Below are 25395 nucleotides of genomic sequence, written 5' to 3' on the forward strand. Positions count from 1 at the left end.
GGCTGGAGTGTAGTGGCGCGATCTCGGCTCACTGCAAGCTCTGCCTCCTGGGTTCATGCCATTCTCCTGCCTCCACCTCCTGAGTAGCTGGGACTACAGGCGCCTGCCACCACGTCTGGCTAAATTTTTTGTATTTTTAATAGAGACGAGGTTTCACCATCTATTAAAGCCAAAATGGTCTTGATCTCCTGACCTCGTGATCCGCCGGCCTCAGCCTCCCGAAGTACTGGGATTACAGGCATGAGCCACCGCACCCGGCCCACACCCAGCTAATTTTTTTTTGTATTTTGTAGAGAAAGTGTTTTGCCATATTGCCCAGGCTGGTCTCAAACTCATGGGCTCAAGCGATCTTCCAGCCTCAGCCTCCTAAAGTGCTAGGATTACAGGCATGAGCCACTGCTCCCAACCTTTTTAATTCAATTTAAATTATAAATATGATCGCTATAGAAAATACGTGTATTATTTATCTGCTGCTATGTAACAAATTACTCCAGACCTAGTGGCTGAAAATAAATACTTAGGACCAGGCACAGTGGCTCATGCCTGTAATCCCAACACTTTGAGAGGCCGAGGTGGGAAGATCACTTGCGTCCAGCAGTTTAAGATCAACGTGGGCAACATAGTGAGACTCCATCTCTACAGAAAATGCAAACATTAGCCAGGTGTGATGGTGCACACCTGTGGTCCCAGCTACTTAGGAGGCTGATGTGGGAGAATCACTTGAGCCAGGGAGGGAGAGGTTACAGTGAGCCAAGATCACACCACCACACTCCAGCCTGGGTGACAGAGTGAGACTCTGTCTCAAAAATAAATAAATAAATAAATAAATAAAATATTTACTTAGGAACTCCATTTCTGTGAGTCAGGAATTCAGGAGTGGCATAGCTGGGTCATCTGGGCTCAGGGTGTCTCGTGACATTGCAGTCAAGCTGTCCTCTGAGACTGCAGTCACCTAAAGCCTGTTTCCAAGATGGCTCACTCATGTGACTGCTGACCGGAGGCCTCAGTTCCTGTCACATGAGCCTCCCTACAGGCTGCTTAGGTGTCATGGTGTGACAGCTGGCTTTCCCAAGTGAGTAATCAAAGAGTGAGCAAGGAGGAAGCCATAGTACCTTTTATGATGTAGCTTGCAAAGTTGCAAGCCATCACTTTTGCTTTTTCCTATCTGTCAGAAGGGAATCACGTAACCCAGCCCACACTAAAAGAGATAGGAACTGGGCTCCGCCTTTTGAAGAGAGTATCAGAGAATTTGGGGACATATTTTAAATGACCATACTATGTTTAATTATTGCAAGTACAGTCACTGTAGAAAAATTGGAAAATAGGGACAAGCAGAAAAAACAGTCACTTGTAATTCCATGAATCAATGGATAACATTACTAGTTGGATGTATATAATTCCAATATTCAAAATATATATTTTCTCAAAATATAAATACACTATATGTACTGTGGTGTAATCTGCTCTTTCACTTAATGTATGTATTATAAAAAATACCTTTCATGTCAAATATTCTTTCCTTTTTTTTTTTTTATTGAGACGGAACTTCATTCTTGTCACCCAGGCTAGAGTGCAATGGTGCGATCTCTGCTCACTGCAACCTCTGCCTCATGGGTTGAAGTGATTCTCCTGCCTCAGCCTCCCTAGTAGCTGGGATTACAAGCATGAGCCACCAAGCCGAGCTAATTTTTTTTTTTTTTTTTTTTTTGAGACGGAGTCTCACTCTGTCAGCCAGGCTGGAGTGCAGTGGCGCAATCTCGGCTCATGGCAAGCTCCGCCTCCTGGGTTCACCCCATTCTCCTGCCTCAGCCTCCCGAGTAGCTGGGACTACAGGCACCTGCCACCACGCCCAGCTAATTTTTTCTATTTTTTAGTAGAGACAGGATTTCACCGCGTTAGCCAGTATGGTCTTGATCTCCTGACCTTGTGATCCACCTGCCTCGGCCTCCCAAAGTGCTGGGATTACAGGCGTGAGCCACCATGCCCAGCCAAGCTAATTTTTTTGTATTTTTAGTAGAGACAGGGTTTCACCATGTTGACTAGGCTAGTCTCAGACTCTTGACCTCAAGTGATCACCCACCTCGGCCTCCCAAAGTGCTGGGATTACAGGCATGAGCCACCGTACTTAGCCCCTCATAACATTTTTTAATGGTTGCATACATTTCATCATATGTATGTATCATAACTTATTTAATGAATTCTATTATAGGACACTTAGGTTGTTTACAGGTTTTCCCTGTTTTATACATTTTTTTAAATGAACATCCCTACAGCACATTTATTTGTACAATCATGACTGTTTCTTAAATCCCTAGAAGTGAAATTTTTGGAACACAGTTTGCATAATTTTAAAACTTCAAATGCCTGTTACCTAATTTGAGCAGAATTTCTACTGCAATAATCAAGAGTCCATTTGGCCAAATTTCTTATCTATGACAACACCTGCAAAAGTTCAAATACTGATAACTATAAGTGAATTTGTTGAGAGTGACTGAAATCACTATGGAATGAGAAATTGCTATAAAAATTTTACTAAAGAGTGAACTGGCTGGGCGCAGTGGCTCACGCCTGTAATCCTAGCACTTTGGGAGGCGAGGTGAGCGGATTGCCTGGGCTCAGAAGTTTGAGACCGCCCTGGACAACATGGTAAAATCTCATAAGTACTAAAAATACAAAATTAGCCAGGCGTGGTGGTGGGCACCTTTAATCCCACCTACTCGGGAGGCTGAGGCAGGAGAATCACTTGAGCCCAGGAAGCAGAGGTTGCAGTGAGCCGAGATCACACCACTACATTCCAGCCTGGGCGACAGAGTGGGACTCTGCCTCAAAAAAATAAAATAGGGAGATCTGAGTGTGTTACCAACACCACCACACACTACCAAACAGTTTTCCAAAGTGGGTACACCAATGTAAACTCCCATTAGAGCTGTATGAATTTCTGTTACACCACATCCTCCTAATCTTTGGCATTGTTAGTGCTTTCAGCTTTAGGATTTTTGGTGACTCTGTAGAGGGATCTATTAGTGGGTATTTTGTTTTTCGTTTTTGTTTTTGGGGTTTGGGGGTCTTTTTTTTTAACAAAATATGTTCCAATTTAAAACAGTTCATTTCAGGAGAAAGATATGAAAAGTCAACTTCCATCGGTGTCTGGATTAAGGGTCAAGGCCAGTGGCCATGGGAATTGACAATGAGTCACTCCTCAGCCCCTCCCATCCCCCAACATGCACGACACATGCATTTCAAATGGTAAAAGGTGTAAAAACAGCATGGTATAGAATATTCTTTCTTAAATAAGGTTGAAATTGTCTGAAATCAGGACAGTGTAATATATAACTATCACTGGATCCTGTCTGCCAGGCCAGCCGCAGGATCTGCTGCCACCACTGGGGGACATTGGCACAGGAATGCTCTTCTATGGGAGCCGGGGGGACCCAGGGTGTGGCTCTTGCGATGGCCAGGGGCTGCTGCTGCCTGGGCATGACATGGTCAGAGAAGGTGGTCGGCGGTAACGAGAAAGCATTGGCAGGTGAGATTCACCAAGGTAAAAACACACACCCCACACGTGGCCCCACACATGATAAGGATGGGGGTCAGCTGCCCCTTCCCTGACATGAGGGTGTCACTGGCACGAGAACCACTGCCTGGGACTCTACTGGGACAGGCACCCCTGCCCCGGGCCTGCAACACCCACCTCTGCTTTTTTGAGGGGTCAAGGGATCAGGCAGTCAGACCCAGAGGACCCAGGCCAAGATGGTTTGGTGGCCTCAGCCTGGCTCTGGGATGCTTGGCACGGCCCCCTCCCCTGGAAGGGCTAATACTTAGCCCGGCAGCGCCCCAGCTTCCATGCTAGGCGATTCCATCCTCCAGCCGGGTTCGGGTCCCCTTGTGCGATCTGGGCCCTCAGAGATGCCACAAGCCCAGGCCCCCTAGAGGGGTCCGCTGCCAGCAATGGATGCACCAGCCCCGCCAGGGGTGGCACCATGTGCTCCCCCAGGGCACCTCCGGGCCCCAGCACTCACCATGGGGGGCTTCTGGTACCGACCGTCTTAAGTAGACACTTGGCACAAAAAAAGGACGCTTCCAGGAGAGACAAAAGAGGAAAAGTGGCATGGGGAAGCGAGGGGAGGGGGGGCACTGCCCCGTTTCCCAGTGGGGCTGATCACCAGAAATGTACCTGCCCTGACCAGCATGCGTCTCCCCTGCCCCCTCCACGGGGGTCCCCCTCTTCTCCCCCCAGAAGCCAGCAGACAGCCCCTGTGCACGAGGAGTCCGGGGCAGGCCTGACAGTGGCAGCTGGGAACTGCTGATCCGGGTGGTCTTATTTGGGGGCTATTTCTTTTGTAATCTGTCAAGGCCAGAAGCAGCCGTGCGGGGTCCCGGAATGGCAGCAGGCGAGGGCAGCACGGGTGATCCATCCCCGGGACAGCTATGAGAAGCCCAGACCCACAGAGCGCCACAGTGTTCAGTCAACAGCAGACGAAAAAGCCACCACCCCAAAAAGAGTCCCCTCGTTCCCCACCTTCCGAGTCTTTCGGGGAGAACCAGTCTGGGTACCTCAGTGCCTAAAGGGGTCCCGGGAGGCAGTCCCTGGGGCTGTGGCTCAGTGTGCAGCCGTGGCCTGGCGGGCTCCCCATCAGACCATGGCCATGGCCAGCCAGGCCTGGAAGCTGCCAGGGCCAGTGCCTGCCACCACCTTCCATGCGCCCCTGGCCCAAGTGCAAGTGCTGGCTTCCCGCTCCTCGGGGGCGGCACAAGTGCATGGGACAAGGCCATGCACGGAGCTGCCTGCCATGTCCCTCTCTCTACCTCTCAGGTACACACCTGAGAATATTCTGTAAAAGTCCCCACCCCACCCTCACTGTTTCCAAATTGGGGACAACACAAAGCAGAACAAAACGAAAAGAAATGCCCCCATCCAAGTGGCCTTTCTCTCGGTGTTACTGGGGGACCGTCCCTCCAGCAGCTAAGCCCACGTGAGCTCCAGTGGGGTACACTCCAGCCGGGACAGGGTGGCTGTGCAGCCCTCTGGAGCCCCCCGGCAGCCCCAAGCTGCCAGTGTTGCCCCTGGAGGCACAGCCCAGAGGAGCCTCGAGCCCCTGTAACTCCAGCCCAGGGGCCCTTCCCAGCCTCTGCAGAGGGACGGGGTACCCGGCCATAAGACAGGACCCTGGGCATTTCTTGAACCTGTGCAGTGAGGCGTTCTTTTTACTTAAAAAAAAAAAAGTTTAGGCACTTCCCAGGGTGGGCGACTGAGGGAGTGCCCCACCCCCTCTTCAGGAGTCCAGTGGGCAAAACACAGCATTGAGTTGTGAAGAGGAGAGGCGCACTGGGCGTCAATAACTTTAAAAAGGGGGGAAAATATCAGTTCCCGAGTCTCCATGCGTTTCGTGTTGAAGAAGAAAAGAAGCGGGGAAGAGAAAGAAAAAGTATGTGGTGTTGGAAGGACAGTCACGGGAGGCTGCGGGGTGGGGACCCCCATGCTGGCTGGCAAGGGGCTCTGTGAGGCCCAGAGTCGCTGGGGACACGGGGCGCACGTGTGTTTTAGGTTTCGTTGGGTTTTTTCTTTTTCCTTTTTTTCTTTTTTTTTTTTTTTAGAAAAAAGCGAACCGTAAGTCAAGGCCAGAAAAAGACTCCCTTTGACGTTGACAAAAGGTGAGAAGGTGCGCGAAGTGTGCAGACAGATATACATCCCCTGATAACTGTGAAATAAAAACCATTTGTTAAAAATATTAAAAAAAAAAAAAAATCCTCCGCGGGCAGAGGCCCCGCCCGGGCTCAGCAGCGCTGCCTGGCCGGCAGCCGCGGGTTGGGTGTGAAGGAAGGTTTGTCCCGGCCCTTGTCTCCGTCCCGTCTCCCTGGGCCTGGGCGCTTTCAGACCAGGTTGTACTCCTTGAGGCTGAGCTGCAGGATGGTGTCCTTCACGGCCGCGAACACGAAGCGGATGTTCTTCGTGTCGGTGGCGTACGTGAAGTGGGAGTCGATGATCTTGTCGCTGTCGGGGTTCATGTCCACTAACATCTTCAGGATGAACTCCCGCGCCGCCTGGGCGTCCTGCTGGGGCCCTTCGAACTCGGGGAAGTAGTCCACCATGTGTGAGTACAGGATATTGTCCTCCAGCAGGTCCTTCTTGTTGAGGAAGGTGATGACGGGGGAGTTCTGGAACCAGGGGTAGTCGATGATGGTCCGGAACAGGGCTTTGCTCTCCTCCATCCGGTTCTCGTTGTCCGACTCCACCAGGACTTGGTCGTATTCACTGAGGGCGACGAGAAACGGGATGGACGTCAGGTTCTCAAAGCAGTGGATCCACTTCCTCTGCGCCGACCGCTGTCCCCCAACATCCGCCATCCTGAAGATGATGTTCTCCAGGTCGAAAGACGCCGGTGGTGGGCACGCGGACCCGCAGCACGTCCTGCTGGGTGGGCAGGTAGCTCGAGGTGGCGATGCAGTCTACGTCGGTCACGCAGTACTTGGCCGAGTCCGAGAGCTGGTACTCGCGCCTGCGGTCGTAGCACTCGTGGATGCCGGGGTCGTCCCACAGGGTCTTGATGGCGCTGACGTACCGATGCTCAAAGGTGGTCACCTTCTCCACGTCCACCTCTCGGATCTGGAGCGCATTGGCCTTGTTCTGCTCCAACTTGTAGAGGATCTTCAGCGTCTCCATGGCCCGGATCATGGCCTGCATGGCGGTGAAAATGTTCTGGTAGACGAGCTTGGTGAAGCCCCTTTTGTCCTCCTCCTAGTACCCGGCGCCATGGATGATGCGCATCTGCTTGATGAAGGTGCTCTTCCCGCTCTCGCCCGTGAGGAGCAGCAGCAGCTTGAGCTGGCGCCGGGCGTCGCGCTTGTCCCCCGCAGCTGCTTCTGGATCTCGGCGTTGATCCGCTTGGACTCCTTCACCTTATCGCTCAGGCAACACGCCATCATGGACTCCAGAGTCATCGTCCCGGCCACGGCCGCCACCCACCGGCCCCCGGCCCGACTTTGGCCGAAGCCGCCTCGGTCGCCGCCCGCCTCGGCCCTCAGGCTTCAGCCCCGGGCCCTTGGCCCCCGGCCGGCCCGCCCCGCCCCGCCTCGGCGGATGCATGAGAGCTCGAGGTGGCCGCCGCAGCCACCGCCAACCGCAGCCACTGCAGCCGAGCGACAGCACCCGAGTTGGGTTTTTTTGTTGTTTTTTGCTTTTTTTGAGACGGAGTCTCAAAAAAAGGCTGGAGTGCAGTGGCGCGATCTCGGCTTACTGCAATCTCTGCCTCCTGGGTTCCAGCGATTCTCCTGCCTCAGCCTCCCAAGTAACTGGGATTACAGCCGCCTGCCACCACACCTGGCTAATTTTTTTGTATGTTTAGGAGAGACAGCGTTTCACCTTGTTAGCCAGGATGGTCTCGATCTCCTGACCTCGTGATCCGCCCGCCTCGGCCTCCCAAAGTGCTGGGGTTACAGGCGTGAGCCACTGCACCTGGCCTAATTTTAGGATTTTTATTAGAAACTGGGTTTCACCGTGTTGGCAAGGCTGGTCTCGAAGTCCTGACCTCAAGTGATCTGCCCGCCTCAGCCTCCCAAAAAGCTGTGATTACAGGCATGAGTCACCATGCCTGCCAAAAGTTGCATTTCCCCAGCCCCCGGAGAGGAGTCTCACTCTGTCCTCCAGGCTGGAGTGCAGTGGTGTGATCTCGACACACTGCAACCTCTCCCTCCCGGGTTCAAGCAATTCTCCTACCTCAGTCTCTCGAGTAGCTGGGATTACAGGCGCATGCCACCATGCCAGGCTAATTTTTTTGTATTTTTAGTAGACAGGGGGTTTCGCCATGTTGGCCAGGCTTGTCTTGAACTCCTGACCTCAGGTGATCCGCCCACCACAGCCTCCCAAAGTGCTGGGATTACAGGCATGAGCCACCACACCTGGCCCCTTTTTCTGTTTTTTTAAGAGAGGGAGTCTCACTATGTTGCCCAGGCTGGATTCAAACTCTCAGGCTCAAGCAATCCTCCTGTATCAGCCCCCTCAGGAGCTGCGATGACATGCACATGCCACTGTGCTTGGCAACTTTTCATATTTTTCCATTTCCACTGAATTGTAAATAAACTGAAAGCAAGGTCCAGAACCTGTGTGTTCTTGCAGGCTCACCAGCACTATAGATATGTAGCCTGAGCTGGACATATATTTAGGGCATAGAACTTTATTTTCATTTTATTTTTTGTAGAGATGGGATCTCACTATGTTGCCCAGGCTGGTCTCAAACTCCTGGGCTTCCAGCCATCCTCCTGCCTTAGCCTCCCAAAGTGCTGGGATTACAGGTGTGAGCCACTGTGCCTGGCCTTAGGGCACAGAATTAATGTGGTGTGAAAGGAAGTGCATCTAGCCCAGTCCCCCACTGATGGATTCATCTACATTCACACAGACAAGGTAGGGAGTTCAGGATGAGTTGCTATTATTTTCAAAGTGATGACATTTCCACTTGAAATCATGGTCCTGTGCATTCATTCACCCCTCTAACTTTTCAAATCAGGAGACAGTGACTAGAGGCCCTGCCCACGGCCCCCACAGCAAATGTCATGAGAATTTCAGGTCCATCCTGACAACCATCCCCTCTCAGTGCCCGGGTGAGTTTCCCTGGCATTTAAGAATGCTTACCAGTCTTCTGGCTTCCACCCCAAATCCAAGAAGTAGATTTCTTTCAGCTTTATTGACTTTTCATTAAGGGAGCAAGCAATTTTCTCTGGCAGTGAAAGCATTCTGCAGATGTGCAGTTCTACAGAGGAAATGTAACCAGACACGTACCCCGCAGAGAACTCACATTTTATTTATTTATTTATTTATTTATTTATTTATTTATTTTGAGATGGAGTCTGGCTCTGTCACCCAGGCTGGAGTGCAGTGGTGCAATCCCGGCTCACTGCAACCTCCACCTCTCAGGTTTCAGCGATTCTTCTACCTCAGCCTCCCGAGTAGCTGGGACTACAGGCGCATCCCACCACGCCTGGCTAATGTTTTTTTTTTGTATTTTTAGTAGAGATGGGGTTTCACCGTGTTAGCCAGGATAGTCTCGATCTCCTGACCTTGTGATCCACCTGCCTCAGCCTCCCAGAGTTCTAGGATTACAGGCATGGGCCACTGCATCCGGCCCAACTCATTATTATATTAAAGAGGGACAAGTCTCAGAACCTGCCAAGAGGGGGTGATTCTACCCCTATAGCAAATTTAGAAAATATTAAAAAGGAAAATTAAAAGCACCTGTAACCTTCAAATCCAATAGTAACTACTGTTAAGATTTTGCTGTCTTTTTTCCCATTTTCTCTTTTCTTTCCTTCCTTCCTCCCTCCCTCCCTACTTTCCTATTTCTTTCCTTTTCTCTCCTTCCTACCTTCTCTGCTTCCTTTCATTTTTCTTTTTCCTTTCCTTTTTCCTTCCTTTCTTCTTTTTCTTTCTTCCCTCCCTCCCTCTCTGCCTCCCTCCCTTCCTTCCTCCCTCTTCCCTATGTTTCTTCCTTCCTTCCTCCTTTCTTTTCTTTCTTTTTTCTTTCTTTCTCTCTTTTCTTTCTTTCTTTCTCTTCCTTCCTTTTCCTCCTTTTCATTGTTCCTTTCTTTCTTTCCCCCATCCTTCCTTCCCAATTGCCTGCCTTCTGTTTGCTTTGCATCAGATTTTAAAACACATTGGGAACGATGCTTAACATTATGCTAGGACAGTTTTCTACATAGTTATACTTCAAAAAAATTTTTTAAAATAAATAACACAAATGGGTGTACCATAATTTAAACATTCACCTGTACAGCTTAAATGCTGAAATTTTTTTATTCTTATAGTCAATATTTGTATGTGCATTTTTATATGTTGATTATTATCTTAGGATAGATGTCTAGAAGTGGAGTTAGTGTGCCAAAAAGTAAATTTTTTTTCTTTTTTCTTTCTTTTTTTTTTTGAGGCAGAGTCACTCTGTCACTCAGACTGGAGTGCAGTGGTGTGACCAAAGCTCACTGTAGCTTCAATCTTCTGGGCTGTGCAAGCAATCCTCCAACCTCAGCCTCCTGAGTAGCTGAAACTACAGGTGTGTACCACCATGCCCAAATAATATTTTTTTAAACTTTCTGTAGAGATGAGGTCTCACTATATTGCCCAGGCTGGTCTTGAACTCCTGAGCTCAAGTGGTCCTCCTGCCTCAGCCTCCCAAAGTGCTGGGATTACAGGCATGAGCCACCACTGCTCCCAGCCTAAAAAGATTTTTAAGGCTTGTGACACATTGTACTGAATTGCTCCCTGGAAATGTTACAATTTTTGCTTATCAGGGAGGTACATTTTTCTGTACACTCATAGGCATAAAATACAATCCTAAATTTTTATCTTGGCCCCATGTGGTGGCTCACACCTATAATCCCAGCATTTTGGGAGACCAAGGTGGGAGGATTGTTTGAGCTCAGGAGTTTGAGACCAGCCCGGGCAACGCAAAACAGGGAGACCTCATTTCAAAAAAAAAAAAAAAAAAAAACAAAACCCAAAACTAAATTTTTCATTTTTGACAACTTCACAAATCTCAAATGACAGTTATTACTAATGAAGATGAATATTTGTCATCCCTTGTTGGCCCTTTGTATGTCTAAATGGTGAATTGTTCGTTCATGTCCTTGGTGCATTATTTAATGTTTTAAATGTTTTTTCTTTTTCTTTTTCTTTTTTTTTTTTTTTTGAGATGGAGTCTCGCTTTGTCACCTAGGCTGGAGTGCAATGGGGAGATCTCAGCTCACTGCAAGCTCTGCCTCCCGGGTTCACACCATTCTCCTGCCTCAGCCTCCCGAGTAGCTGGGACTACAGGCACCCGCCACCATGCCCGGCTAATTTTTTGTATTTTTAGTAGAGATGGGGTTTCACCATGTTAGCCAGGATGGTCTCAATCTCCTGACCTCATGATCCGCCCACCTTGGCCTCCCAAAGTGCTGGGATTACAGGCGTGAGCCAACGCTCCCAGCCTAAATTTTTTTTTTTTAATTTATTTGAAGAAGTTCTTTATATGTGAAGCTCATTAACCTTTTATCTGCCACATGGAGTTTGTCACTTGTCTTCTTGTTTTTGATTTTAAAAAACTCTTCATTCCTAGATGGGCATTACCCTTATTAAACAACGAATAGAATATGTGATATCCAATGATACATTTAAAACAAGACAACCAATATCTTGGTGTACATAAAGACAAACTTCAGAAGACAAACATTAAATGTTTTAACATACATTTGAATAAACTTTACTTACAAATTGTTTAATTGGAAAAGGAATTTGTGTTCAAAAAATGTTTTCACTGATGGAAAAATAAATCTAACAAAACCAGTATGTGAAAACATTGATTTACAAAGCCAAAATATATCATATCATAGTTTCATTTGCTGTATACCTTTAATGAGGTCCCCTCTTTTTTTTTTTTTTTTAACAGAGACGGAGGTCTCACTATGTTGTCCAGGATGGTTGTGAACTCCTGGCCTCAAGTGATCCTCCTGCCTCGGCCTCCCAAAGGGTTGGGATAACAGGGCTGAGCCACTGCGCCTGGCTGAGGTTCTCATTAAAAGAAAATAGGCCAGGTGCGGTGGCTCACACCTGTAATCCCAGCACTTTGGGAGGCCAAGGCGGGTGGATTACGAGGTCAAGAGATTGAGACCATCTTGGCCAGCATGGTGAAACCCCATCTCTACTAAAAATACAAAAAATAGCCGGGCATGGTGGCGGGTGTCTGTAGTCTCAGCTACTCAGGAGGCTGAGGCAGGAGAATGGCATGAACTTGGGAGGCAGAGCTTGCAGTGAGCTGAGATCATGCCTCTGCACTCCAGCCTGGATGACAGAATGAGACTTCGTCTAAAAAAAAAAATAAAAAAGGAAAAGAAAATAAAGGCCAGGAGCGGTGGCTTACACTTGTAATCCCAGCCCTTTGGGAGTCTGAGGCAGGTGGATCACCTGAGTTCAGGAGTTTGAGACCAGCCTGACCAACATGGTGAAACCCTGTCTCTACTAAAAATACAAAAATTAGCCAGGCGTGGTGGCTCACGTCTGTAATCCCAGCTACTCGGGAGGCTGAGGCAGGAGAATCGCTTGAACCTGGGAGGCAGAGGTTACAATGAGCCGAGATGGCGCCACTGCACTCCAGCTTGGGCGACAGTGTGAGACTCCATCTCGAACAAAAAAAAAAAAGAAAGAAAAAGACCCTTGCCTGTGGGGAGAGTGGGCTGGGTGGGCCCTGAGGGACTGTGACAGGAGTATGACAGGCAGAAGACACCCATGTCATTTGGAGTTTTGTCTTCAGACCCCTCGCTAACCTCTGAGGAAATGACAGACTCGATGCCTGGGCACCTGCCATCGGAGGATTCTCGTTATGGGATGGAGATGCTGACAGATAAGAAATGGACCTGGGATGGTGGTGCTTGGGACTCATCTCCCCAGGGAGCAAACGGAAAGCGGGGGGCCAGGCAGGCCTCAGGCTTTTCTTGATTTTGACCGCCTCTAGTATAGGAAACCCAATATATGCCTGACCCCAATCCAAGGCTGGGTTCCTTTTGGAAGCCTCAAGTAGGCTCTATTTATTTATTTAAAGACCTTGGCGCGATCTCGGCTCATTACAACCTCCACCTCCTGAGTTCAAGCAATTCTCCTGCCTCAGCCTCACCATGTTGGCCAGGCTGGTCTCAAACTCCTGACCTCTGGTGATCCACCTGCCTCGGCCTCCCAAAGTGCTGGGATTATAGACATGAGCCACTGTACCCGGCCATTTTTTTTTTTTGAGATAAGGTCTCCCTCTGTTGCCCAGGCTGGAGTGCAGTGGTGCGATCACAGCTCACTGCAGCCTCCAACTCTTGGGCTCTAGTGATCCTCCTGCCTCAGCCTCCTGAGAATCTACACTGACAGGCACACACTACAGGCACACATTACAGGCACGTGCCACCACGCCTGGCTAATTTTGTATTTTTAGTAGAGACAGGCTTTCGCCATGTTGGTCAGGCTGGTCTCGAACTCCTGACCTCAGGTAATCCACCTGCCTTGGCCTCCCAAAGTGCTGGGATTGCAGGCGTGAGCCACCACGCCCTACCATAGGCCCTATTTCTAACAAGGCCCAGCATGCTTCCCAGGAGCCACCTGTTGTGATTAATTTGTCCATTTATCCAACAACTATTTATTGAGCATCTATTGTGTACCAGGTCCTGTGTAAGGGGCTGGAGACAAAGCAGTGAACCAAGCAGAAGTCCCCACCTCCTGGGGTGCACATCCTCCTGTGAAGAGATAGATAAATAGTAATCAAATAAGTAAAATAGGCAGGCTAAGGTGGCTCATGCCTATAATCCCAACAGTTTGGGAAGCCAAGACAAGGGGATTACTTGAGGCCGGGAGTTCAAGATCAGCCTGGGCAACATAGAGAGACCCATCTCTTAAATTTTTTGAGATGGAGCCTCACTCTGTCGCCCAGGCTGGAGTGCAGTGGTGCGATCTCAGCTCACTGTAACCTCCGCCTCCTGGGTTCAAGCAGTTCTCCTGCCTCAACCTCCTGAGTAGCTGGGATTACAGGTGCCCACCACCACGCCTGGCTAATTTTTTTGCATTTTTAGTAGAGACGGGGTTTCACCATGATGGCCACGCAGGTCTCAAACTCCTGACCTCAAATGATCCTCCTACCTTGGCCTCCCAAAGAGCTGGGATTACAGGCGTGAGCCAATGCACCCTGCCTCAACAAATATTTATTGAGCACCTACTGTGTACTAGGTCCTGTGCAAGGGGCTGGGGAAAAAGCAGTGGACCAAACAGATGTCCCCACCTCCTGGGGTACACATCCTCGTGTGGAGAGATAAGCAGTAAGCAAATAAGTAATATAGGCAGGGCAAGGTGGCTCACGCCTGGCTCACCTCCCAGGAAGGCCCTCAAAAGGACAGGCAGCTTTGCCCTCTACACAGGCATGGGACACAGGGGTTGAGATTCCTGGCCCTGTGGCACCGGCTGGACTTACAGCAGCCATGTCTCTGCAGCCAAGGCCATTGGCATCTCGGAACCCATCAAGGTGCTGTACTCCAAGTTTCTGATGCACCCGGAGGAGCTGTTTGTGGTGGGGCTGCCCGAAGGCATCTCCCTCCGCAGACCCAACTGCTTCGGGATCGCCAAGCTCTGGAAGATTCTGGAGGCCAGCAACAGCATCCAGTTTGTCATCAAGAGGTAAGGCCTGACCAGGTCCACGGGAGACAGCACCAGGCCTGCTCAGCACCCAGGGGCAGGAGCAGCACCAAATTGCCATCAAGTGATTATTGTGCCTCAGCCACCCGAATAGCTGGGACCACGGGTGTGTGCCACCATGCCCAGCTAATTTTTTGATTGATTGATTGAATCGATTGATTTTATTTTTTTAGAGATAGGGTCTGGCCATATTGTCCAGACTGTTCTCAAACTCCTGGACTCAAGCCATCTCCTGCCTGGGCCTCCCAAAGTGATTACAGGTGTGAGCCACCGCGCCTGGCCACTATTTCTTTCTTTTTTTTTTTTTTCCTGTAGACAGAGTCTCACTCTGTCTCCCAGGCTGGAGTGCAGTGGTGCAATCATGGCTCACTGCAACCACAGCCTCCTGGGTTCAAGCGATTCTCCTGACTCAGCCTCTCGAGTAGCTGAGACTACAGGTGCCCGCCACCACGCCCGGCTAATTTTTGTATTTTTAGCAGAGATGGGTTTTCACCATGTTGGCCAGGCTGGTCTTGAACTACTGACCTCAAGTGATCTGGCCACCTCAGCCTCCCAAAGTGCTGAGATTGCAGGCATGAGCCACCGCACCAGACCTCCTTTCTTTTCTCCTTTTTTTTTTCTTTGACAGCAAGGTGTTAAATGGGGTTTGGCTGCAGTTGGCAGACATGAGGCTCCCCAGGGCTGCCAGACCCAAAGCCACCGAGCTGACCCCTCTTGCAGTCTCAGGAGAGCAGTGTTCAGTTGGCCCAGATGCAGAATGGGAACGTGCCATCAGCTCACGGGTTCTCCAGGCTGGCGTGTTGGTGTCCTGGGCCAGGGACTGGGGGCAATGCCCCATCATCCCAGGATGGGAAAGTCCAGCAGCGGCTTCTCCAGGATCTTTCTGTTTCTTTGAACATGTTGCGTTTTTGCCAGTGAGGTCCCGGGGCAGCACGCATGGATACACTCTGTGTGCCCAGCTGGGATAAAAAGTCCCTTTGGAGAAGGCAGTGGCAGTTATTGAGTACAAATGTGGTTGGGTGATTTCAGGAACAGTGGTTTATGCCTATAATCCCAGCACTTTGGGAAGCTGAGGTGGGAGGATTGCTTGAGCCCAGGAGTTCAAGACCAGCCTCGGCAACATAGCAAGACTGTGTCACTACAAATTTTTTTTTTAAGCTCTGGTGTGGCAGCACATGCCTGTAGTCTCAGCTACTCAGGGGGCTGAAACAGAAGGATCACTTGAGGCCAGGAGTTCAAGACTAGCATGGGCAACATAATGAGACCCCATCTCTACAAAACAAATTTAAATTAGCTGGGCATGGTGGTGCACACCTGTAATCTCAGCTACTCAGGAGGCTGAGGTGGGAGGATCACTTAAGCCCAGGAGGGGTTTGGAGGCTAGAGTGAGCTATGATTGCACCACTGCACTCCAGCCTGGGTAACAGAGCAAGACCCCTCCTCAAAAAAATAAAAAACAAAACAGGGAATGGGAAGATGATATTTCCATTTTGTGTTTGTTACTTCTGTGTTACTGTAATAGCATACATTTAGGCTTGGTTTATGGTTGGGCACGATGGCTCACGCCTGTAATCCCAGCACTTTGGGAGGCCAAGGCGGGCAGATCACTTGAGGTCAGGAGTTCGAGACCAGCCTGGCCAACATGGCGAAATCCCATCTCTACTAAAAATACACAAATTAGCCAGGCGTGGTGGCTCATGCCTGTAATCCCAGCTGTAATCTCCCCGTCATCAGGAGACTGAGGCACGAGAATTACTTGAACCCGGGAGGCGGAGGTTGCATTGAGCTGAGATCGCTCCACTACACTCTAGCCTGGGCGACAGAGGGAGACTCTGTCTCAAAAAAAAAAAAAAAAAAAATAGGCTTGGTTTGGTTGAAAGCAGCAAGAAAGAAGAAACTCTTAAGGGTTTGTTCCTCCAGGGGAATAGATGGTTCTCAAACTGGGAGACTCACAGCGTCATTTTTGCATACAGTGGTGAGGAGATCCGCTGGGACAGGGAGCTCTTCTGCAGGGCCTGCTCTATGCCAGGAGGGAGTCTGCTGCAGATAGCAAAAAGCTACACAACAGGGCTGGAGAGCAAGAGTTGTGATCCTGCAGTAGAATCAAAGGCTTCAGCAGGCCAGGATGAAATGCAGCCACATGCCCGGTGTGTCTGGGCATATTAAAAGGAAGACTGAGCCGGCATGGTGGCTCATGCCTGTAATCCCAGCACTTTGGTAGGCTGAGGTGGACAGATCACTTGAGATCAGGACTACTGAAAATACAAAAATTAAGGCAGGGCACGGTGGCTCATATATGTAATCCCAGCCCTTTGAAAGGCTGAGGCGGGCAGATCACCTGAGGTCGGGAGTTCAAGACCAGCCTGACCAATATGGAGAAACCCTGTCTCTACTAAAAAATACAAAATTAGCCAGGCATGGTGGTGGGTGGCTGTAATCCCAGCTACACGGGAGGCTGAGGCAGGAGAATTGCTTGAACCCAGGAGGCACAAGTTGCCGAGATCATGCCATTGCACTCCAGCCTGGGCAACAAGAGCAAAGCACCATCTCAAAAAAAAAAAAAAAAAAAAAAATGAGCCAGGCATGGTGGCATGCACCTGTAATCCCAGCTACTCAAGAGGCGAAGACAGGAGAATCGCTTGAATCCGAGAGGCAGAGGTTGCAGTGAGCCGAGATCACACCCCTGCATTTCAGCCTGGGGGACAGAGTAACACTCTCATCTCAAAAAAATAAATAAAATTAAAAGGGAAGATCACATTTCAGGTGGTTTAAGGATAAACTCGTGATAGACATATGGCCCATCAGATGTGTGAAAACATACAGAAATAAAGATTCACAAGAGATTATGTATAATTATAGTATAGTAATTGGCTCTACTGTATACATGTATAGTACTGTACTGATTGAAGGAACGCTTCATTCAACAAATTCCCAGCCTGAGCAATGTGGTGAAACCCCATCTCTGGGGGGAAAAAAAAAATAGCCAGGCTTGGTGGTGAGCACCTATAGTCCCAGCTACTCAGGAGGCTGAGGTGAGAGGATCACTTGAGTTCAGGAGGTCGAGGCTGCAGTGAGCCATGATCGCACCACTGTACTCCAATCTGGGTGACAGGGTAAGACCCTGTCTCAAAAAAAAAAAAAAAAAATGTAAATACATTCTGGCCGGGCATGATGGCTCATGCCTGTAATCCCAACACCTTGGGAAGCCCAGACAGGAGGATCGCTTGAGCCCAGGAGTTTGAGACGAGCCTGGGCACTGTATCGAGACCCCATCTCTACAAAAAATTTTAAAAATTCTCACACCTGTAATCCCAACACTTTGGGAGGACAAAACAGGAGGGTCGCTTGAGGCCAGGAGTTCGAGACCAGCCTGGTCAACATAGCAACCCCATCTCTATTTGATTATTATTATTATTATTTTTTTTTTTGAGACAGAGTCTCGCTCTGACGCCCAGGCTGGAGTGCAGTGGCAAGATCTCAGCTCACTGCAAGCTCCGCCTCCCAAGTTCATGCCATTCTCCTGCCTCAGCCTCCCCAGTAGCTGGGACTACAGGCGCCTGCCACCACACCTGGCTAATTTTTTGTATTTTTTAGTAGAGACGGGGTTTCACCGTGTTAGCCAGGATGGTCTCAATCTCCTGACCTCGTGATCCGCTCACCTCGGCCTCCCAAAGTGCTGAGATTACAGGCATGAGCCACTGCGCCCGGTCAATCGGAAGCCTTTTCTAGCTCCTGAGATTGTGGTTCAAGGCAGGGCTATACTTCCCCCTCCCAGCCCTGGCCCCGTGACCCCAGCTCTGTGCCTGGCTCTGTACAAAAGCCTAAGAGATGCCCACTGCCAGAGTGGGCACCAAATCCTCATCTACTGGGGACCCAGGGAGTACCCTCCCTGAGAGTTTGGCCTTTGGGCTCACTCCCGGGCAGAGACTCCTCAGTGCTGCTGCTTGATTACCCCTGTGACAGAGAGCTCATTACCTCTCCAGGCCCATTACCTCTCCAGAGAGCTAATTACCTTCTCCACTCCATGGCTCACCCTGCCATCCCCTGACAGCCCCCTTCTGGCCAGCATGATTTTCCCAGTGTCCTCTGCCCACCACAAACCCCAGCCCCCCAACAGGCTTGCTCTAACAGGACAAGTTGTGCTGAAGATGGAGACTTTAGAAGCAGTGCGGTATGATAAAGAACGTTGACTCATGTCTGGACAGGGCTTTCTGGAGTCTGTGGAGCTAAAGACATTAGTATAATACAAAGCTGGGCTTGGTCACTGGCGCTTCCGACTGCAGTGACACAGCAGCTCTCAGATGTGAGCCGTAGATCTCAGACCTTTCCAGAAGCTTGGAGTTCTTGCTATGTAGTGGGCCCCAACTGTTTCTACTCCTTTTCTTCTCTTTTCTTTCATTTTGAGACAGAGTCTTATTCTGTCACCCAGGGTGGAGTGCAGTGGCGCTATCTCAGCTCACTGCAACCTCTGCCTCCTGGGTTCAAGCGATTCCCCTCCCTCAGCCTCCCGAGTAGGTGGGATTATAGGAGCCTGCCACCACATCCAGCTAACTTTTGTATTTTTAGTAGAGATGGGTTTCACCATGTTGGTCAGGCTGGTCTCAGACTCCTGACCTCAAGTGATCCGCCCTCCTCGGCCTCCCAAAGTGCTGGGATTACAGGCGTGAGCTACTGCACCAGACCTTGTTTCTACACTTTAAACCAGCTCCACGGGAGGCCCCCTGAGGCCGCCTGCTCCAATCCCAGGCAGTGACAATCGTGCAATGTCCCTGGAGCAGGAGTGAGATAATCAGACGGACCTGTTCAGGACTGGGCAGGTCTCACTCCTGGCTGGATCCTTCAAGCCCAGGGCAGCCCCCCAGTTTCCACACGTGGGGCAGCAGGGACTCCAGGCCTAACTGTGCGGAGCCAGGAGGGTCCATTGCAGGGATGTGCAGACTGAGGCCCAGAGGGGAGGGCTGGGCAGTCTCAGAGATGCTTGGAGGGACCTCTGTGATAGCCCCGCTTGTGTTGTCCAGGCCCAAGCTGCTCACTGAGGGAGTCAAAGAGCCCATCGTGGATAGTCAAGGTACCCAGCACGGGGTCGCGGGCCATGGTGCGGGCGGGCAAGGGAGGGCCCCAGGCCTCTGCCACCAGCCCCTCCTCCTGCTGCCTCTGTCCTGCTCCCACCCTGACCCTGGCATTCTGCCCACACCCCCGCATTAGGTTTCCCCTAATGATGCCATCTTGGGTCCCAGGAACTGCCTCATCACTTGGCTTCTCTCCCCCTGCCCTGCCCCCAGAGAGGGATTCCAGGGACCCTCTGGTGGGCGAGAGCCTGAAGAGACAGGGCTTTCAAGGTAAGGTTGAGCTCAGGGGGAGGTCTGTTGTCCCAGCACCAGGACCTTGACCTGGTTTGGGTTTGGAGGGCCAGGCTGGAAGTGGGGAGGAGCTGGCCCCCAACTTCAGGGCCTAAGGGACCAGGCAAGCCAGGTTGGCAGCCCAGGCCCGGCTGTACCCTGTAAGCTCTGTGTTAGAGACTCCAGGGGAGAGGGGGTGCCTACAGGTGGACGGTGGGGGAAATTGGGGGTTGGGAGGCTACAGGGCGCAGGAGCCTGCCTGCCCCCCTCCAGGAAGGTAGCTGACATGCCCACTCCTTATTCAGCAATCAGCTGTGGTCTTAGTGCTTTGAAATCAGAATAAGAGCCAGGCGTGGCACCTCACGCCTGTAATCCCAGCACTTGGGGAGGTCAAGGCAGGCGGCTTGCTCAAGGCCAGAAGTTCGAGACCAGCCTGGGCAACATAGAACCCATCTCTAGGTCTATTTTTAAGAAAAGAAATCAGAGGCTGAGTGCAGTGGCTCACACCTGTAATCCTAGCTCTTTGGGAGGCCGAGATGGGTGGATCACTTGAGGCCAGGAGTTCAAGACCAGCCTGGCCAACATGGCGAAACCCCGTGTCTACCAAAAAAATACAAGAATTAGTCAGGCGAGGTGGCATGCACCTGTGATCCCAGCTACTTGGGAGGCTGAGGTGGGAGAATCACTTGAACCTGGGAGGCGGAGTTTGCAGTGAGCCAGGATCGTGTCACTGCACTCCAGCATGGGCAACAGAGCAAGACCCTGTCACCCTGTCTCAAAAAAAAAGAGTGGGGGGAGAGAGAAATGGTGGTGTAGGATCCCTCCGGCACATGCGGGCACTTGTCTTGTTTGTTTGTTTGTTGAGATGGAGTTTTACTCTTGTTGCCCAGGCTGGAATGCAATGGCGCAATCTCAGCCCACTGCAACCTCTGCCTCCTGGGTTCAAGCGATTCTCCTGCCTCAGCCTCCTGAGTAGCTGGGATTACAGGTGCACGCCACCACACCCGGCTAATTTTTGTATTTTTTTTAGTATAGACGGGATTTCACCATGTTGGACAGGCTGGTCTCGAACTCTCGACCTCAGATGATCTGCCAGCCTCAGCCTCCCAAAGTGTTGGGATTACAGGCATGAGCCACTGCACCCAGCTTTTTGTTTGTTGTTGTTGTTGTTGTTGTTGTTTTTTCTGAGACAGAGTCTTGCTCTGTCATCCACGCTGGAATGCAGTGGTGTGATCTCGGCTCACTACAACCTCCACCTCCCAGGTTCAAGGGATTCTCTTGCCTCAGCCTCCCAAGTAGCTGGGATTACAGGTACACACCACCATGCCCAACTAATTTTTGTAGTTTTTTGGTAGACACGGGGTTGTAGAGATGGGGTTTCACCATGTTGGCCAGACTGGTCTCCAACTCCTTCCTTCAGGTGATCCTCCCGCCTCGGCCTCCCAAAGTGCTGGCATTACAGGTATGAGCTGCCGCGCCTGGCCACACTTGGGGGTTTTTAATGAACACTCTCTGGGTGAGGGTGGCTGGGTGGCTCATACTTGTAATCCCAGCTGAGGCAGGTGGATCATTTGAGCTCAAGGGTTCACAGCCAGCCTGGGCAACATGGCGAAGCCCTATCTCTACCAAAAACACAAAGAAGAAATTAGCCAGGCATGGTGGCACACAGCTGTGGTCCCAGCTACTCAGGAGGCTGAGGCAGGAGAATTGCTTGAGCCTGGGAGGTGGAGGTTGCATTGGGAGCTGCCAGGCGTGTCCCCTGTGTCTGTGGGGACTGCCCGTCCTCCACCATCTGCTGGATCAGCTGGGCTTCCGTTCCCTCCTTTGTCTCCAGCCCCCCAGTGACTTCATGAAGCCCATACCCCCTGCCTGCCAGCCCAGGGCACAGGACTCTGCACTCTATGGTGTCCCTCCTCTCCGGGCTTATTTATTGATTTGGTGGTTTTCAAATGTCAACAATTAACTGAATTTCCAACTCATCACTGTTGTGGCAACAGTGCATGTCCTTCTGGAAAAAACACATCTCCATCAAGACGTTGGTGCTGAAGAACCTGAGCGGCCCACTCCAAAGATCCGTTAATTGCCAGAGAAGGAGTTCCCCATAATTAGAAAATCATCTTCCTTAAAAGTCACCAAGTGCCTTTTCACTGAACAGCCCAAACCCATAATCATTTTGCGCTTTGCAGAAAATTACGACGCGAGGCTCTTACGGATTGACATTGCCAACACGCTAAGGGAGCAGGTCCAGGAGCTTTTCAATAAGACATATGGTAAGCAGCGCAGAACCCCTGGGGAGGGACATGTAGCTGCTGTGGACAGAGAAGTGGCAGGTTTCCCAGTTCCAGCCGAGGGGATTTCTGGGGAAACGATTCACCCCTTTACATGTATTTCTTGAGCATTTACTATGTGCCAGGCACTGTCTCAGGCACTGGGGATATTGCTGTGAATAAAACAGACACAGTCCCTGTACTCATGAGCCTTGCAGACCAATGAGGTGAGACACACTTTCAACAACTACACACAGAATTTAATAGACAGGGGCCCGGCTCGGTGGCTCATGCCTGTAATCCCAGCACTTTTGGAGGCTTGAGCTCAGGAGTTCAAGGCCAGCCTGGGCAACATGGTGAAACCCCATCTCTACCGAAAATACAAAAAAGAAATTAGCCAGGTGCAGTGGTGCACACCTGTGGTCCCAGCTACACAGGAGGCTAAGGCAGGAGAATCGCTTGAGCCTGGCAGGCAGAGGTTGCAGTGAGCTGAGATCGTGCCATTCCACTCCAGCCTGGGCAACAAAAGCGAAAATCTGTCTCAAAAAAAAAAAAAAAAAAAAAAAAAGGAGCATACGACATGGGAGCATATTGGTGTGGCTTTTTCTTTCTTTTCTTTTTTTTTGAGACAGGGTCTCACTCTGTCACACATGCTGGAGTACAGTGGCGTGATCATGGTTCACTACAGCCTCAAACTCCTGGGCTCAAGCAATCCTCCTGCCTCAGCCTCCTAAGTGGCTGGAACTACAGGCATGCATCACCATGTCCAGCTGTTTTTTAGAAATCTGTAGTAGAGACAGGATCTTGCTATGTTGCCCAGGCTGATCTCGAAATCTTAGACTTAAGTGATCCTCCTGCCTTGGCCTCCCAACATGCTGGGATTACGGGCATGAGCCACCATGCTGGCCTTTTTTTAATGTTCTGATCAAATAGCTTAGATTGTAATGCCTATACCTTTCCACAATGCTACATAAGAGCTTTCTCGTACCATTCACTCTCCTGCACGCATGTCTTTCCATCACACCCCCGCAATCCCATGTACACACACCCCACGCTGCCTCTCACTCCTGACGGGCAGGACCCTGCCTCTCACCCACAGGGGAAGCCTTGGGCATCAAGTACCCGGTTCAGGTCCCCTACAAGTGGATCAAGAGTAACCCCGGCTCCATGATCATCGAGGAGCTGCCACCAGGAATCCTGTTCCGAAAGCCCTTCGGCTCCCAGAACCTGGAGAGGATTCTTGCCATGGCCAACAAGATCACGTTCACAGTCACCAGGTACTCAGGGGGAAGGGTGAGGGTGAAGAGGCAGGACTAGCTCAGATGGGGGCTTACACCTGCGAATCCTTAGCCTTTCCCTAGGTCGTGCCCTCCCCACTGGACAAGGTGGCTCTCCTGGCACCATCCTGGGTCCTGGGGGTGGCCAGAAAGGGACTGCAGGCCAGCCTGAGTGCAAGGTGTCCTTCAGAAGTGGGACTGGTCACCCCACCATGGCAAGGGCAGCCTTCGAGGGCATCTTCAACCTGTTCAGCAACACCTGCTCACTGTACCCCCAGCCCCCAGGAAATGCCTTTAGCCCCCATCAGAGGGATTTGCCCAAGGTCTTGGGGCCAGCCAGGGCAGAGCCTACCCAAGGCCCAGGTCTGCATCCTGCAGAGTGGCACTGCCAATGCCAGCACCCTGCCACATGGTGTCAGTGTCCCACGCACACAGAGCCCCAGGGCAGCTTATTAAAATGCAGATTCTGCTGCCGTAGATCTGGGGTGCTCCCAGGGGAGACTGAGGCCACTGCATCCCAGGGGTGTCTTCCTCATCCCCAGGCCCTTCCCCCTGACACCCCTGCCTCTGTTTCTCTTCTAGGCCTTTCCAAGGACTCATCCGAAAGCCTGGTAAGAGGCACTGGCTGTGGAGGGGTCACTGGGAATAGGGCCAGGTCATGGTGCTGGGGGCTGGAGCTAAGCCTGCTGTGGGGCACAAGTTCTGGGGTCTGGGAACAGAAGCCAGGCCCCTGCCTTTCTTTCTTTCTTTTTTTTTTTATGAGGCAGAGTCCTTTTCTGTCACCCAGGCTGGAGTGCAGTGGTGTGATCTCAGTTCACTGCGACCTCCACCTCCTGGGTTCAAGTGATTCTCCTGCCTCAGCCTCCTGATGACAGGGAGATTACACGCAACTGCCACCATGCCTGGCTATTTTTTGTATTTTTAGTAGAGACAGGGTTTCACCATGTTGGCCAGGCTGGTCTCAAACTCCTGACCTCAAGTGATCCACCCACCTCGGCCTCCCAAAGTGTTGGGATTACAGGCGTGAGCCACCATGCCCAGCCTGGGCTCCTGCCCTTCTGTTTAGCCACCTCACCTGGGCACCTGCCCCAGATAGATGGAGGAAGGCTAAGCTTGAATGTGGCCCCACATCCTGGGGCAGAGAAAGGAGTGGTGGTGCCAGTGACTTCTAAGTTTTACCCAGTCTGGGTTCAGGAGGGAGGGGCCAGGCCGGGTCAGTGCACCCCCTCCTCCTGATAAAGGGGGTGTGGTTGACCTCAGTGAATAGATGAGGTTGGAGGCGAGTGGGTTCCTAACCACAGAAGGAGGGGTGTCTGCATGGGAACCACAAGCGTGGTGGTAAGATGTGGGGGGTGTCTACCCCGCCTTAAACAGCGCAGTGCCTCTCCTGACCCTTTTTTTTACATTATATATATATAGACAGAGCGAGAGAGACCAAGTCTCACTTTGTTGCCCAGGCTGGAATGCAGTGGCACGATCTCCGCTCACTGCAACCTCCACCTCCCAGGTTCAAGCGATTCTCCTGCCTCAGCCTCCCGAGTAGCTGGGATTATAAGCACATGCCACCATGCTTGGCTAATTTTTGTATTTCTAGTAGAGATGGGGTTCCACCATGTTGGCTAGGCTGGTCTCAAACTCCTGGCATCAAGTGATCCTCCTGCCTCGGCCTCCCAAAATGCTGGGATGACAGGCATGAGCCACCTTGCCCGGCCTCCTGACCCTTTTTAAGCCACCCATCCACCTCCATGTCCACCAAGGGCTGTGTTCTGGCCTCCCAAACCCAGATTTGCAGGGGCTGTCCCTGCAGGGCGACATGCCACATGGTGAGCACTAAGGGCTGGCCAGAGCCTTCAGGGTGGGCCAGGCATGGTGGCTCACACCTGTAATCCCAGCACTTTGGGAGGCCAAGGTAGGAGGATCACTTGAGGTCAGGAGTTCAAGACCAGCCTGACCAACATGGTAAAACCCCGTGTCTACTTAAAATCCAAAAATTAGCCAGGCATGGTGGTACGCAGCTGTAATCCCAGCTACTTGGCAGGCTGAGTCAGGAGAATCACTTGAACCCGGGAGACAGAGGTTGCAGTGAGCCGAGATAGCACCACTGCACTCCAGCCTGGGCGACAGGGTGAGACTCTGTCTCAAAAAAAAAAGTACTTAGGGTACACTGTTGTGGCAGCTGCCAACAGGCCACAGGAGCCCCCAAAAGGGGGATCAGGAGGGTGAGGGGTAGTTGGAGAAGGTTGCCTGAAGGAAGGCCCTGCTTGGGCCTCAGGGGAAGATGGGACTTTGAGAGGCAGAGAGGAGGGTGGGTTGTGTTTGGCGGGGGAACG

At 51.1% G+C, this 25395-nt stretch overlaps 2 pseudogenes, besides 2 other annotated features; one reads left to right on the forward strand and one right to left on the reverse strand.

Annotated features, from left to right (window-relative positions):
* Nucleotides 3612-4111: an enhancer, noted in NCBI's record as "H3K4me1 hESC enhancer chr7:65967883-65968382 (GRCh37/hg19 assembly coordinates)". NCBI's record gives its function as "activates a minimal SCP1, AML or CMV promoter by ChIP-STARR-seq in primed H9 embryonic stem cells {active_cell/tissue: H9 hESC(primed)}" and the evidence as "EXISTENCE:reporter gene assay evidence [ECO:0000049][PMID:30033119]".
* Nucleotides 5281-7151, reverse strand: LOC346329 (G protein subunit alpha 11 pseudogene; annotated as a pseudogene).
* LOC100420547 (GTF2I repeat domain containing 1 pseudogene) overlaps nucleotides 12270-25395 on the forward strand; it is a 34118-nt pseudogene continuing 20992 nt past the window's right edge.
* Nucleotides 17471-17783: a silencer, noted in NCBI's record as "fragment chr7:65981742-65982054 (GRCh37/hg19 assembly coordinates)". NCBI's record gives its function as "represses an EF-1alpha promoter that drives an FKBP-Casp9 reporter gene in an ReSE screen in K562 erythroleukemia cells {active_cell/tissue: K562}" and the evidence as "EXISTENCE:reporter gene assay evidence [ECO:0000049][PMID:32094911]".

This window comes from Homo sapiens, chromosome 7 (genome assembly GCF_000001405.40).
Source record: "Homo sapiens chromosome 7, GRCh38.p14 Primary Assembly".
In the NCBI taxonomy this organism is placed as follows: Eukaryota; Metazoa; Chordata; class Mammalia; order Primates; family Hominidae; genus Homo; species Homo sapiens.